This window comes from Homo sapiens, chromosome 3 (assembly GCF_000001405.40).
Source record: "Homo sapiens chromosome 3, GRCh38.p14 Primary Assembly".
NCBI classification, from domain to species: Eukaryota; Metazoa; Chordata; class Mammalia; order Primates; family Hominidae; genus Homo; species Homo sapiens.
Window position 1 is genome coordinate 121,468,498 of NC_000003.12, and position 13,318 is coordinate 121,481,815.

Here is a 13,318-nt window from a genome sequence, read left to right on the forward strand (position 1 = left end):
CACATTTCTGGATTATCTTAAAAATGCAGACTATCAATGCTGAACTGAAATACATTTATATTTAAATATTTTTCATCATGTTCATGTGTCTAACAATGATAAAATAAGTACAAGACCATCCCAAATAAATGAATGTATGAATTGGCTACACTACTATGTTTTACACAGAAAACCATCGCACAATGAGAAGTAATTTGATAAACTGAACTAGTCTTATGCTAAAATGAGTATCAGATTTCAGCACTATAACATGTTAGCGGTCATATTAATGAGTAAAGGCTAATCAAATGGATCTTAGGAGAAACAACCACTGACGCTTCTAAAAACAACACTTTCAGACATCATCTGGCTGTTTTTCTTCATCATTGTCATTCATCAAGAGAATCTACAACAGTACTTACTAGAAGTACTGAATCAGGTGAGACTTGAATCAGGTGGTTAATAGTAAATTTTCCAGTGAACAGAAAGCTGTTTTTTAAAAAAATGCTTATAAGCCTGGCCAACATAGTGAAACCCCGTCTCCACTAAAAACACAAAAAATTAGCTGGGCATGATGGCGGGTGCCTGCAATCCTCAGCTACTTAGGAGGCTGTGGCAGGAGAATTGCTTGAACCTGGGAGGCGGAGGTTGCACTGAGCCGAGATCATGCCACTGTACTCCAGCCTGGGCAACAGAGTGAGACTGTCTCAAAAAAAAAAAAAAAAAAATGCTTATAAAGCCTTTATTTCCAAATATATTTTACATCTTTTGTTTACTTATTGGTTGAATTTCTCTAAAACATGAAAACATGTTAAGTATCACTCCAAAAAAGTTTGAGAAATTTTGTTACTGTGATTTTTTATAACACTATCAGCAACACTAAAACTCTATTTTATGACACACTCTTCATTGTAACAGGCTGTCTACTAGCTATGTATAACTCCATTATCTTCTGATAAATCAGACCTTTTAAGTGACTTGGACGTTGTTTTTTTGAATGATCCCCTAATATTATGTCTTTGTCATTTAGCTTTTAGCACAAAATAAGTGCTCAGTTAATGATAACCTTTAACATAATTGTTGACATTAAATGGCCTGTTCAGTGTTACAAAGCTAACAAACAGCAGAGGAAGGCATCCAAGGCTCTTTTTACATCAACACATTGTCTTCTTTTCTATAACACTTAATATTCAGCACACTACTCTGGTCTATTAGTTGAATTAATGAAGCAACACTGGCAGACCAAAAAAAATGGTAAAAATAAATTACAAAGAATGAATATATAGCTTAATGGATATGAAGTATATTCATGAAATGGCTTTGCTATGCTTAAGTTTGTATTTCTAAATATTATAAGCATTATAAAATATTATTAAAATACATTTCTAAAATCACTAATAAGTAAAATCAGTAATAAAATCAAAAGAAATGTTGCACATTTATTTGTTCTTTACGAACAAATAACAAAGCAGAAGGCTTATTACTGATTTTATCTTCTGTTTTGTAAAGAACAAATAAATGTGCAACACCATTGAAAATTCTAGGTTGCTGGGCGTGGTGGCTAATGCCTGTAATCCCAGCACTTTGGGAGGCTGAGGTGGGTGGATCACGAGGTCAAGAGATTGAGACCATCCTGGCCAATATAGTGAAACACTGTCTCTACTAAAAATACAAAAATTAGCTGAGGCAGGAGAATCACTTGAACCTAGGAGGCGGAGGTTGCAGTGAGCCGAGATCACGCCACTGCACTCCAGTCTGGCGACAGAGCGAGACTCTGTCTCAAAAATAAATAAATAAATAAATAAAAGAAAATTCTAGGTTGATGTTGTCTTTTCATCACGGAGGATTTTATTTTACGTAAGTTTATATCATTAGCATATGTTTCAAAGTGAAATTTAAATACCAACAGGACAAGATATCACTAGGATGGGACAAGTTTAGAATGTTTAGAACAAGGGATAAAGCAAGCAGAGAAAAGCAGCACCTCATGGAGCCTCCGTGCTGGGTAACAGCAGCAACTGATAGTGAGCACTTTCTAGGAGCCATGCACTATTCTAAATACCCTACATCTATGAACCTATTTAATCCTCAGAATTACCAGGTGGGGTGAGACTGTTATTACCTTATTCGTTTATTGGTTTATTTATTGACTGAGACAGGGTCTCACTCTGTTGCCCAGGCTGAAGTGCAGTGGCTCAATCACAGCTCACTGTAGCCTTGATCTCCGAGGCTCAAGCAATCCTTCTACCTCAGCCTTCCAAGTGGCTGGGACTACAGGCACAAGATACCACACATGGCTAATTTTTTGACTTTCTATAGAGACATGGTTTTGACTTTCTATAGAGACATGGTTTCACTATCTTGCCCAGGCTAGTCTCAAACTCCTGGGCTCAAGTGACCCTCCCATCTTGGCCTCCCAAAGTGCTGGGATTACAGGCGGCAGCCACTGTGCCCAGCCTATTACCTTGTTTTATACATGAAAAAAAATGTAGGCATTGAGAGGTTAAGTATCTTGTCTAAAGATTCACAGAACCAGGATTCAAACCCTGATTTCTGATGTCAAAGCCCACATTCTATACCACCAATCTAAACTGCCTGCCTCCTCTATGAATGAGTTAAAGCTACCTTTTCTTCCACTACACATCACATTTAGCAAATATTTAGAGTTTTGTACTGCCTAGAGAAAGAATACATTTTTCTTCATAAGATTACACTCTTACTTATCTCAGGAGGACCATGAGATAACCAAAGGACTCTACAGCTTTCTTTTCTGCTTGGGTAAAATAAGACACTTACTTATACGGATGCCCCAGAGGCCTACTCAGATTCAACTTGGAGAAATCTTAAGAGGCTCAAAAAAGGGCTGGGACTGAAATTAGATAAGACCACTGACTCAAATATTTAATTCCTGTGTATACTCACATTGAAAGTACTGTCTCAGACATCCCAGTTACTCTATACAAGTTCTTAAAAGCAGGAACCAGGCTGGGCGCAGTGGCTCACGCCTGTAATCCCAGCACTTTGGGAGGCCGAGGCAGGTGGATCACCTGAGGTCAGGAGTTCGAGACCAGCCTGATCAATGTGACGAAACCCCATCTCTACTAAAAATACAAAAATTAGCCAGATGTGGTGGTATGCGCCTGTAATCCCAGCTACTCGGGAGGTTGAGGCAGGAGAATCACTTGAACCTGGGAGGCAGAGGTTGCAGGGAGGTGGAGGTTGCAGGGAGCTGAGATCGTGCCACCGCACTCCAGCCTGGCCAACAAGAGTGAAACTCTGTCTCAAAATAAATAAATAAATAAATAAATAAAAATAAAAGCAGGAACCAATACTCATCTCTGTACCCAGGTAGTATCTATCTATGCTTTGGATAAAGCATGTATTTTATAGTTGTAAAACTTCACCGAACCCCTTGATCAACACTTGAATTCTTGGCCATCATAAAAAATATTACATATGAAAATGCTTTTCCTTCAAAATTGGATATTGTTTATACTTAAGATTTCTCATCACCTGTAGCAGTGTGCGACTGTGATACAGGATAGATTCTTTCCATTCCAAGAAAAGGATTAAGACACTTTTCCCGCTGAAGGGGAAAGACCACTTTGGTAATAGCATTAGTGATTCTTCTCCATTCTAATATCAAGCCTGGTAAAGGATGTAATGCCTTTAATTTATTTAAAACGTCCTGCCAAAAAAATATAAGGTAAGATTGAATTCTTGTCCAAATTCCACAGCAAGCTAGAATCTCTTTTCTGTAAATAATACAGTCTCAAAATTAAATTTGAGAGTAATATCGACAACTCAAAACTATTACTTGGAGTTTTTTAAACCACCGTATTGATAAAACTATAACTACAGTTTACAAAATGGAAATGTGGTAATACTGAGCAGTATCAATTTAAAACTACCTTTTTCAAAAAAATAAATGAATTGTCAGTTTAACAAAGTAACTGCCTCCCCACACCCGACCAAAAGTTTATTTTACACCATCTGTTTTCTTTATGCATTTTCCTCCTTCGCTCCTCACATGACTGGAAGTATCCCAGTTGTTTTTGTGCTTGCCCGGATACTTATACGGTTTCCATATCAAGGTAATCAGGAGACATTTATTTTTAAAACTTTGAATTTTTCATACTATAGACTTTCAGTGAACTATTAAGGAACAGAAACTTGTGAGTAAAAGGGCCAGTGAGATTAAATTAAAAATTGTGCTATAGCCTGGAGCTAAGGAAACTTCCTAGGAGCAGACAAATCATAGATAACGGTATAAGGACCACAATTCTACACAAGGGCAACTTGGACAGCTCTGTGGCTATATTTTCTACCCTATTTTTCCCCTGAAACATCTGTAAAAATGTAAAATTAAGCCCCTTCTCTCTTCCCTCCCACTAATGTGTACAGTTTCCATGGATTATGATTAACAATTGTACTTTGAAATTAGCAGATTAAATTCTTAAATCAGGGCCTGGTGCAGTGGCTCATGCCTGTAATCCCAGCACGTTGGGAGGCTGAGGCGGGAGGATCCCTTGAGGTCAGGAGTTCAAGACCAGCCTGGCCAACATGGTGAAACCCCATCTCCACTAAAAATACAAAAATTAGCCAGGCATGGTGGTACACCTTTATAAACCTTTACACCATTTTAATGATAGGAAGGAAGGACACAACTGCTAACTTATGATTCGGATTTTCCATGCTGGAATATCTCCACAGAATTTGTGGGCTACCAAACCACAAACCAATGTGTTAATTTATATCTGGGTAAATTCAAATGGTAGGCTAAGATGTTGATTTCATCAGCATTCTTTCTAGACACCAAAATGTTAAAAGTAGTTTAGGTTCTGCCCTGCTCTGTGACTGCCCCAAAGAGCACCTTACTAGTGCTGAACTGTCTTCCCAGCCTTAGCTTGCGTCCATTGTCAATCCCTCTTCTGGTAGAACCCAGAGTTTTCTTGCTGCCTTGGTTTTTCATCTCTCTATTTGGGGGCAACTTCAATTCCAAAAATAAAACCTGCAAGAAATTAATGTCTCTTTAGTCAAGAATGAAACTTGCAAGGATTATCATTCAGAAAATATTTTAAGTTATTTCAGAAAACAATCTCTACAGTTCAACATGGATTGAAATAATGTTTCTGTGGATAATTTGGAATTACCATATTTAATAAATGATGGCAATCAAAATTTATATGTCAGGTAGTCTATCCATACTCTAATTAGACACTATCAGATTAATTAATACTAACACAAGGCCTTTTTTTTTTTTTTTTTTTGAGACAGGATCTCACTGTCACCCAGGCCAGAGTGTAGTGGTGTGATCACAGCTCACTCTAGCCTTGACTTCCTGGGCTCAAGTGATCCTCCCACCTCAGCCTCCCGAGTAGCTAGGGCCACAGGCATGCACCACCATGCCCACCTAATTTTTGTATCTTTGGTAGAGACAGGATTTCGCCATGTTGGCCAGGGTGGTCTCAAACTCCTAAGCTCAAGCAACCCACCTGCTTCAGCCTCCCAAAGTGGTGGGATTATCGGCATGAGCCACCACACACAGCCAGCTTTTAAGCAGTCAGGAACACAGGCACGTATATACACTGTGCTGAGCAACTGGCAAACAAGTTATTGACATTGAGACTTATTGCTCTAAGAATTGTGAGCTCTCCTAAATGAGGCTGCTCAATCAGTTAAGCCCCATAGATCAACATGGAAGCTTACATGGCTATTGTCTCATTACAAAAATCAGAAAACACTAAAGTAGGAAGGGGTTTGAAAAGTCATCTAGTCCCACCACCACAATGCTGGGCCCTGATAGTCCCTAGGCACAAAAAGTTAGGAGAAGGTGGCCAATACAATGTGGCAATAATGAATGCTAGAGAGGGCCGGTAGCACCCACTGAAGACACCAGAACTGTGCTGTGTGGGAGGTGGAAGACCCCATGTAACACTCACAAGCTCAGATGAGAGGGGATGAAACTAGGGCAATTCAGAACATTATCTACTATACCTAATCATTCACTTATATACTTTGAGTGGGTTTTAATGAACCTTGGATTATTTTCCCAGTAATAATTCTAAAAATTGAAACTATTTGTGTAAGTACAAGAATTTTTCCCACAAGTTGAGCCAGGGGTGGAAGGGAAGATAATCCCTGTACTTCTCTAGAATGGTAATGATGACAGAAACAATGATCTGGTTCCAGTTTGAACTGGGGTTTTAGGAATGAAAGGTACTGAGGCTTACTACAGATGTCAGTAACTATTTAGCCCAAGAACTATGTTACACAGATATGAACATATGCATGTATAGGGATTAGGGTTGCCACATATACCAAATAAAATTACAAAATGCCCAGTTAAATTTGAGTTGCATGGGGCATACTTATACTAAATTGTTATCCATTGTTTACCTGATTTTATTGACAAATTATAGTTGTATACATTCATGGGGTACAAGATGATGTTTTGATGTAAGTATACAATGTGGTGTGATTAAATTAAGCTGATTAACATATTGATCACCACACTTAGACTTATCATTTTTTATGGTAAGACATTTGAAATTTACTCTTAGTTACTTTGAAATATATAATACGTTACTATTGACTGTAGTCACCCTTGTGTACAATAAATATTAGAATCGATTCCTCCTGTTTATCTGAAACTTTGTACCCTTTGATAAACAACTCCCCATTCCCCTATCTAAAACTTTATACCCTTTGACTAGCAACTCCCCATTTCCCCGCTCCCTACTCCCCCAGCCTCTGGTAACAGCTGTTCCACTTTCCACTTCGAGGAGTTCAACTTCATTGGATTCCACATATAGTGAGATCATCTGAAACATATGGTACTTATCTTTCTGTAACTGGCTTATTTCACTTAGCATAACGTCTTTCAGGTTCCTCCATGTTTTCAAAAATGACAGGATGAAATACAAATTTCAAACTGGATGTGCCATATTTTATCAGGCAACCCTAATATAGGTATCAAAGGGTACATGAATGGCAGTATAGGAGAAAAAAAACCAAGCAACTGGATAGGAAAAATAAAACACTATTAAAGTAATAATAAAGCAGCAAACCCAGGAAGAGAGACCCATTATGATTAAAGACAACACAAATATCTCAAGTTATATATTTAGAAGTTCTTTAGCTTAAGCATTTTTTTGGGGGGGTGAAGCTTTCAGAATTAACTGTGAAACTTCACATACAAACTACCTTCCAGGTAACTGCCATTTTGACATGCAGGACGAAGAAGCCAATACTATCAAAGGCCCTTTACTCTTAGTCCAGGATTTGCTCAAGGCCTGTAGCTTACATGCTTTCAGGCCCATCTGAATCACAAGGGCAGCAATTCTTGCCTTTGCCCCAAACCTACTTGTGCTGAAACAGAGATTCTATATTTTCTATAAGTTCCCTATGTAATTTTATGTGCAGTCAGCTAGGTATTGGCTTGGGGATTTGAAAAGCAGATACCAAAAAGAAAAAAAAAAGGCACCACTGAATTCAACACATGAATAAGAGAAACCAAGTTCCTCATTTTCTTTTAAATATGTTAACGAAGGAACAGAAAATCAAATACTGCATGTTCTCATTTATAAGTGGAAGCTAAATGATGAGAATTCATGAGCAAAAAATCCCTTTTTCATTTAATTCAGAAAAATATCCAGTTTCCTATTCTATAGAAAGATGTTAGGGCAAGCAAGGAAGGGGTAAGGGCTCATGAAATGACCAACTTCCTGGAAAAATAGCTATGCTGTCATGCAACCACCAGTACCAATCATTTCTTCAACAAATACTTAGTGAGTCCCTCCTCCGTTCCAGGCAAATCTCCTTCTCAAGGAGCTTACATTCTAGAAGTCCTCTTTATTACCTTCCTTTATTTGTAAATTAAATACAGATATAATTTACAAATTAGATGCTAGAATATTCCCAAAGCAATCTGGTTAACTGGCTGTTTCATTTTACTGACCTTTGGTGTTCAGGTAAATACACACACACACACACACACACACACACACAATCATTTTAACTCTAAAAATTATGTATCTATATCCCTAGCCCCATGATACAACCTCAGCGATGTCATCTGAACTGGTGAAAGAAAAACTGTGGCCAGCTAGTTGATAGGCCTGGGTCTCAATTGCATCCAGCTTGGCTTGCATTATATGTTTCTGACTTTCACATTCTGCAGTACTAAAGCCAATTCCATTTAGTTCTAGCAAGGCCAAGCAGTACTGAGAGGGCATTTCCACCTTACGGAAAACATCTGGAAGAAAAAAGAAAATTAAAACGTTAATTCATTGGCTAAGTGGCTAGATCAGCAGCCTTACCTAAACTATACAGAATTCATCTAGGAAAATCCAGAAATGCTACCAAGGTATCCTTCAGGAGCCAGTCTCCCGAGCAGCATCCTCAAGCCAACAATGAAAGGTGGAAAAGTACAGGCTAGTTTAGCACTGGACAACTATCCTTGTCTCTGCAGAGAGTAGAAGAGTCGGCAATCTTGTGACTAGTCTGGATTACAAGAGACTGTATTTCTCCTAAGATGTTTCTGCTTCTACTCTTAGCAGCAGCATAACAATCAACCTTATTTTGAAATCCAAAATGCTCCAAAATCTGAAACTTTCTGAGCACTGACATGACACCACAATTAGGACACTCCATACCTGACTTTACGTGACAGGGCACAGTCAAAACACAGGTGTACAACACAAAGTTTATTCAGCGTCTCTAAAGGAAAAAAGCCCCTCCTTGCCCCATTCAGCTTCAATATATCTTTTCCGCCAGACAACCACAGACTGCCTACATGAGTGACTGAGACAGTGATACCTTTGCTTTCTGATGGTTCAGTGTACACAAATTTTATTTTGTGCACAAAAGTATTAAATAATTGTATAAAATTATCTTTAGGCTATGTCTATAGGTATATATGAATTCTACATTTAGACTTGGGTCTCATCCCCAAGATATCTCATTATATATATGCAAATATTCCAAAATCCAAAAAAATCTGAAACGTAAAACACTTCTGGTCCCACATTTTGGATAAGGCAGACTTAACTTATATATTAAAGGCCCTGAGAGGACCTGAAGCAAAGACAACTATTTAATTTTATTTTAAGTGAAAGTCCCAAACTTATTTGACCATTAAACCCTTTTTTCATATAATACTTATTAACATCTTGAAAAGTAAGCATCCATGGAATGTACTATAGGAAATGCTGTCCTAAATCATTAAGAAAGAATCCCTAAGACTTCAGCTTCCAGTATTGAGTCACTAGGAATCTAAGCAACCCTGGCCCACCTTCCCCAGCTCCACACAAACATTATTTGAGGCACTGCTGGTCTCAATCAGCATGAGAAATCTCCAGGGACACCCGTAACCACCACGAAAAGCAAAGAAACAAATGAGAGTTACTGGCCTCTAACTACATGCAGAAGGTACGAGACCGTCAGAGCCTGGCTTTAGAAGCCTGGAACTAGTGGAGAAATTCACGTTACTTGAGACTAGAGAAATAATGAACTTGGGTCAGAACAGGAACAATCAGAGAAGCACAAAGTAAGAGTGGCAGGAAGCTAGCCTGCATCCATAGCCATTAGGAAGGAGCAAGGTCGTTATGGGAATGGAGTCCCATAGCAAAAAAAGTTAAGGGGATATAGATCCTTGAAACAACAACAGGATGAGGAGCAGAGTCTCAGACTCCTGTTCTGAAACAAAACTCTCAAAGGCTACTGCGGTCCTTTGATGCAGAGTAGTGTGGTACCCAGCAGAGGCAGGAGCAAAACCTTTCTAAGGGAAGATTTCCCCCACGTAAGTCCTGCAGGGATCCTTGATCATAATAAATCCTGTATGAACTCACAAAAAATATGAAAAATACAAGACAGCAAAGAAATGTGAATAGGACTCAGAAGAAACAACCAAGAAGAAATTTAGATCCCCAAAACTGCAGATAAGGACTAGTTAGAATATTGCACAACTGTGAATGAACTACTTACAAAACAAAAAGTGACTAGAAACAAAGTAAAATAGTAGGAAAATAGAGAACAAGTGTATCAATAATCAAATAAGCAGAAATACATCAAGAATCACAATAAATTGGCAAATTTGTAAAAAAAAAAAAAAAAAAAAAAAAGTTAAGCCTGAAAAGTAAATGAGCTATACTTTGTTTATAAGACATGTCTGAAGATAGGGACCTAGAAAGGTTAAAAGGGATAGAAAAAAGCTATATGAACTAATATTAAGAGAAAGCTGATGTTGCCATATTCATATAAGAAAACAGACTAAGAATAAAAATCATTATTTGTAATACAGATGGTCATAATACAATAATAGAAGGTTTAATTCACCAGGAAGACAAATCATTTTTAAACACATACACACCTAATAAAGTGGCCTCAAAACAAAGTTAAAATTGATTGAATTACAGGGAAAATTAGACATAGAATATTTTAAAAACAACTTTGACTTAACAGACATATAAAATTGTGCATCCAGAATTAGAGTACACATTCTTTTGTGTGCACATAGAGCATTTACACAACAGCTCAGGTTTTAGATAATGAATCGTTGGCTAAAAATTTCAAGAATTAGTATTATACAACCATGTACTCGAACTACAACACAATTAAGTTTAAATATAATAAAAATACAAAATAAAAGTTTCTAAATATTTGGGAATTAAAAACCATTCTTCTAAATAATTTGTGAGTGAAAAAATATACCAGAAATCTAAAAATATCTAGCATGATAAGAATATTATCAGGCCAGGAATAGTGGCTCACACCTGTAATCCCAGCACTTTGGGAGGCAAAGGCAGGAGGACTGCTTGAGGGCAAGAGTTTGAGACCAGCCTGGGCAACATAGCAAGACCCTCATCTCTACAAAAAAAAAAAAATGTGTGTGTGTGTGTGTGTGTGTGTATACACATCAAAACTGTAGAATACAATAAAAGTAGTGCTTTGAGGAAAATTTATAGCTATATATATATATTTTGTTTGTTTGTTTGTTTTTGTGATACAGATCCTCACTCTATTGCCCAGACTGGAGTGCAGTGGCAGAATCTCTGCTCACTGCAACCTCCGCCTCCGGTATTCTCGTGCCTCAGCCTCCTGAGTAGCTGGGATTACAGGTGCATGCAACCACACCCAGCTAATTTTTGATTTTTAGTAGAGACAGGGTTTCACCATGTTGGCCAGGCTGGTCTCAAACTCCTGGCCTCAAGTGATCCACCCACCTCAGCCTCCCAGAGTGCTAGGATTACAGGCATGAGCCACTGCACCCGGCTGCCTTATATTCTTAAGTTAGAAAAGAAAAAAAATAATTTGAGAAGTAATGGTTTTAAGGTCAAAGTTATGAATATTGAAAAATGACTACAAAATAAAGTCAGGGGAACTAGAAGAAAACAGATAATATAGATGTGGACAGAAATCAAGGAAATACAAAACAAAAGTAATAGGAAGAATCAAAGGCAAAGGTTGGTTCTTTGAAAAGACTAGAAAATTGGGAAAACTTCAAGTGACATTAAATAATAATATTATGAAAGAAAAAGAGAATATAACAAATAAACCAGAGACGTAAAAAAGAGAGACTTAGCAATAGCTGTATATCAATAAATTTGAAAATTTAGATGAAACATAAATTCCTTAAAAATATATAGGTTGGGAATGTCACAGTGGAGTAATAAAAAGAAAAAAAAGATTTGGAAAAAAAATATATATATATAGCTTACCAAATATATTCAAAAAGAAATAACTGAATAATCTTACAGTTATTAAAGAAATCAAAGTTGCAGTTAAAATATCTTTCTATGTCAGATGAGAATACCTCCTGGCTAACAGAAAAATTTTAAAAATAAAACATATCTATATCTCTTTCTACAAAGAAATAATTATATTCAAACTAAATCTGATAGCTGTCTACATTCTCTCCAAAAACTTCCCTTATCTCAGTGCACTTCAATTCTTGAATTCTATGAATAAGAAAGCATTAACACTGTAAAAAATGCATTTAATACCTCCTAACCACCCTTTTTTTTTTGAGATGGGGTCTCACTATGTGGTCCAGGCTGGTCTCAAACTTCTGGGCTCCAGTGATCCTCCCACCTTAGACTCCTGAGTAGCTGAGACTACAGGCAGGAACCACTGAGCCAGCCTAGCCACACATTTTTGAAAGTGCAGAAAAAAAAAGGAGCTTTCAAAAGCACATTGAAATTGTGAAAGTTAAAAATTATAATAATCAACTAACATAATAAGCACCTGCTCTGTGACAAACACTGCCCATATTCACTATCTTATTTAATCCTTAGAACAACTTTATAAGAACCAGACTTACAGTTTCAGTAGTTTGCCCAAAGTCCCTCAGCTCATAAGTGGATAACCCAGATCCAAACCCTAGTCTGTATGAATTCATCCATCTATTTTCTAGTACCTATTGATTAGTCAATAAATTCGGTCACTCCTCACAATGAAGCCAAATTTGTTCTACTTCACATCTCTACCATAAGCATCCGTTAAGCTCTCTGTAGTCAGGGTGCTTGATCTGGGCCAGCAGATAACAATGACAATAAATTCATGTTATTTGTCATGAGGGAAAAAAGAGACTCTCATGATTATCCCTTGCTGTGAAAAAACATCTGTTTGTTAATAGTTCCAAAAAGAAAAGAGTTAACTTTTTGAAATCCATTAAGGATGTCTTCTAAGGGTGAATAAAAATCCTTTGATAAAGTTCAAATACAAAATTACCAACAACTGCATAAATGCGATTTTGTAATTCTCTTCTTCACACAAGGGCCAGAAGTCAGCAAATTATGGCCAAACTAACATTAGATGCATGTTTTTGTAAAGTGTTATTGGAAGACAGCCATTTGTTTTGGTCTTGTCTACAGCTGCTCTTTTGCTACAATGGCAGAGTTGAGTATTTGTGATAGAGATTGTTTAGTTTACAAAGCCAAAAATATTTACTCTCTGGCCTTTTACAGAAAAAAAGCACTAGACAATCCAAAGGTAGGATTTGCATAAATGTGTAATTTACCCATTTTTGATAAAGAGTGGCTAAATCTCTATCTCTAATCTATAACATAAAAATGCCAGAAACTTGGTTTTTACCTTGAAGGTTTTCCTTCTGCAACAAAGAGTTGAGCTGATTCATAGAGTTGAAGATGAGAATGGACTCCACAGATGCTCTGTATCGCCCAGAATGCTCACTGCCAGCATTTAGCCCCAGGCTTTGAATCCCTTGGCTGGTCTCCATCCCTTCTAGGAGTGGAAGCTCATGAGGAAGAAAACTGGTAACTATGCTATGAAGAGTCGGCTCCTGAGAATCTGGATCTAGTAACCAGCATGCCACCTG

The 13,318-nt window shown here is 37.4% G+C and overlaps 1 protein-coding gene across 1 annotated transcript in view; it reads right to left on the reverse strand.

The window, feature by feature from the left end:
• Nucleotides 1–13,318, reverse strand: part of POLQ (DNA polymerase theta) — a 114,558-nt gene that overhangs the window by 37,067 nt on the left and 64,173 nt on the right. Inside the window, exons 19-22 of the mRNA NM_199420.4 lie at nucleotides 13,075–13,315; nucleotides 8,043–8,236; nucleotides 4,853–4,990; nucleotides 3,493–3,667 (exon numbers count right to left, since the gene is read on the reverse strand). Coding sequence (NP_955452.3) covers nucleotides 3,493–3,667; nucleotides 4,853–4,990; nucleotides 8,043–8,236; nucleotides 13,075–13,315 — 748 coding nt within the window. The remainder of the gene's footprint in view (nucleotides 1–3,492; nucleotides 3,668–4,852; nucleotides 4,991–8,042; nucleotides 8,237–13,074; nucleotides 13,316–13,318) is intronic.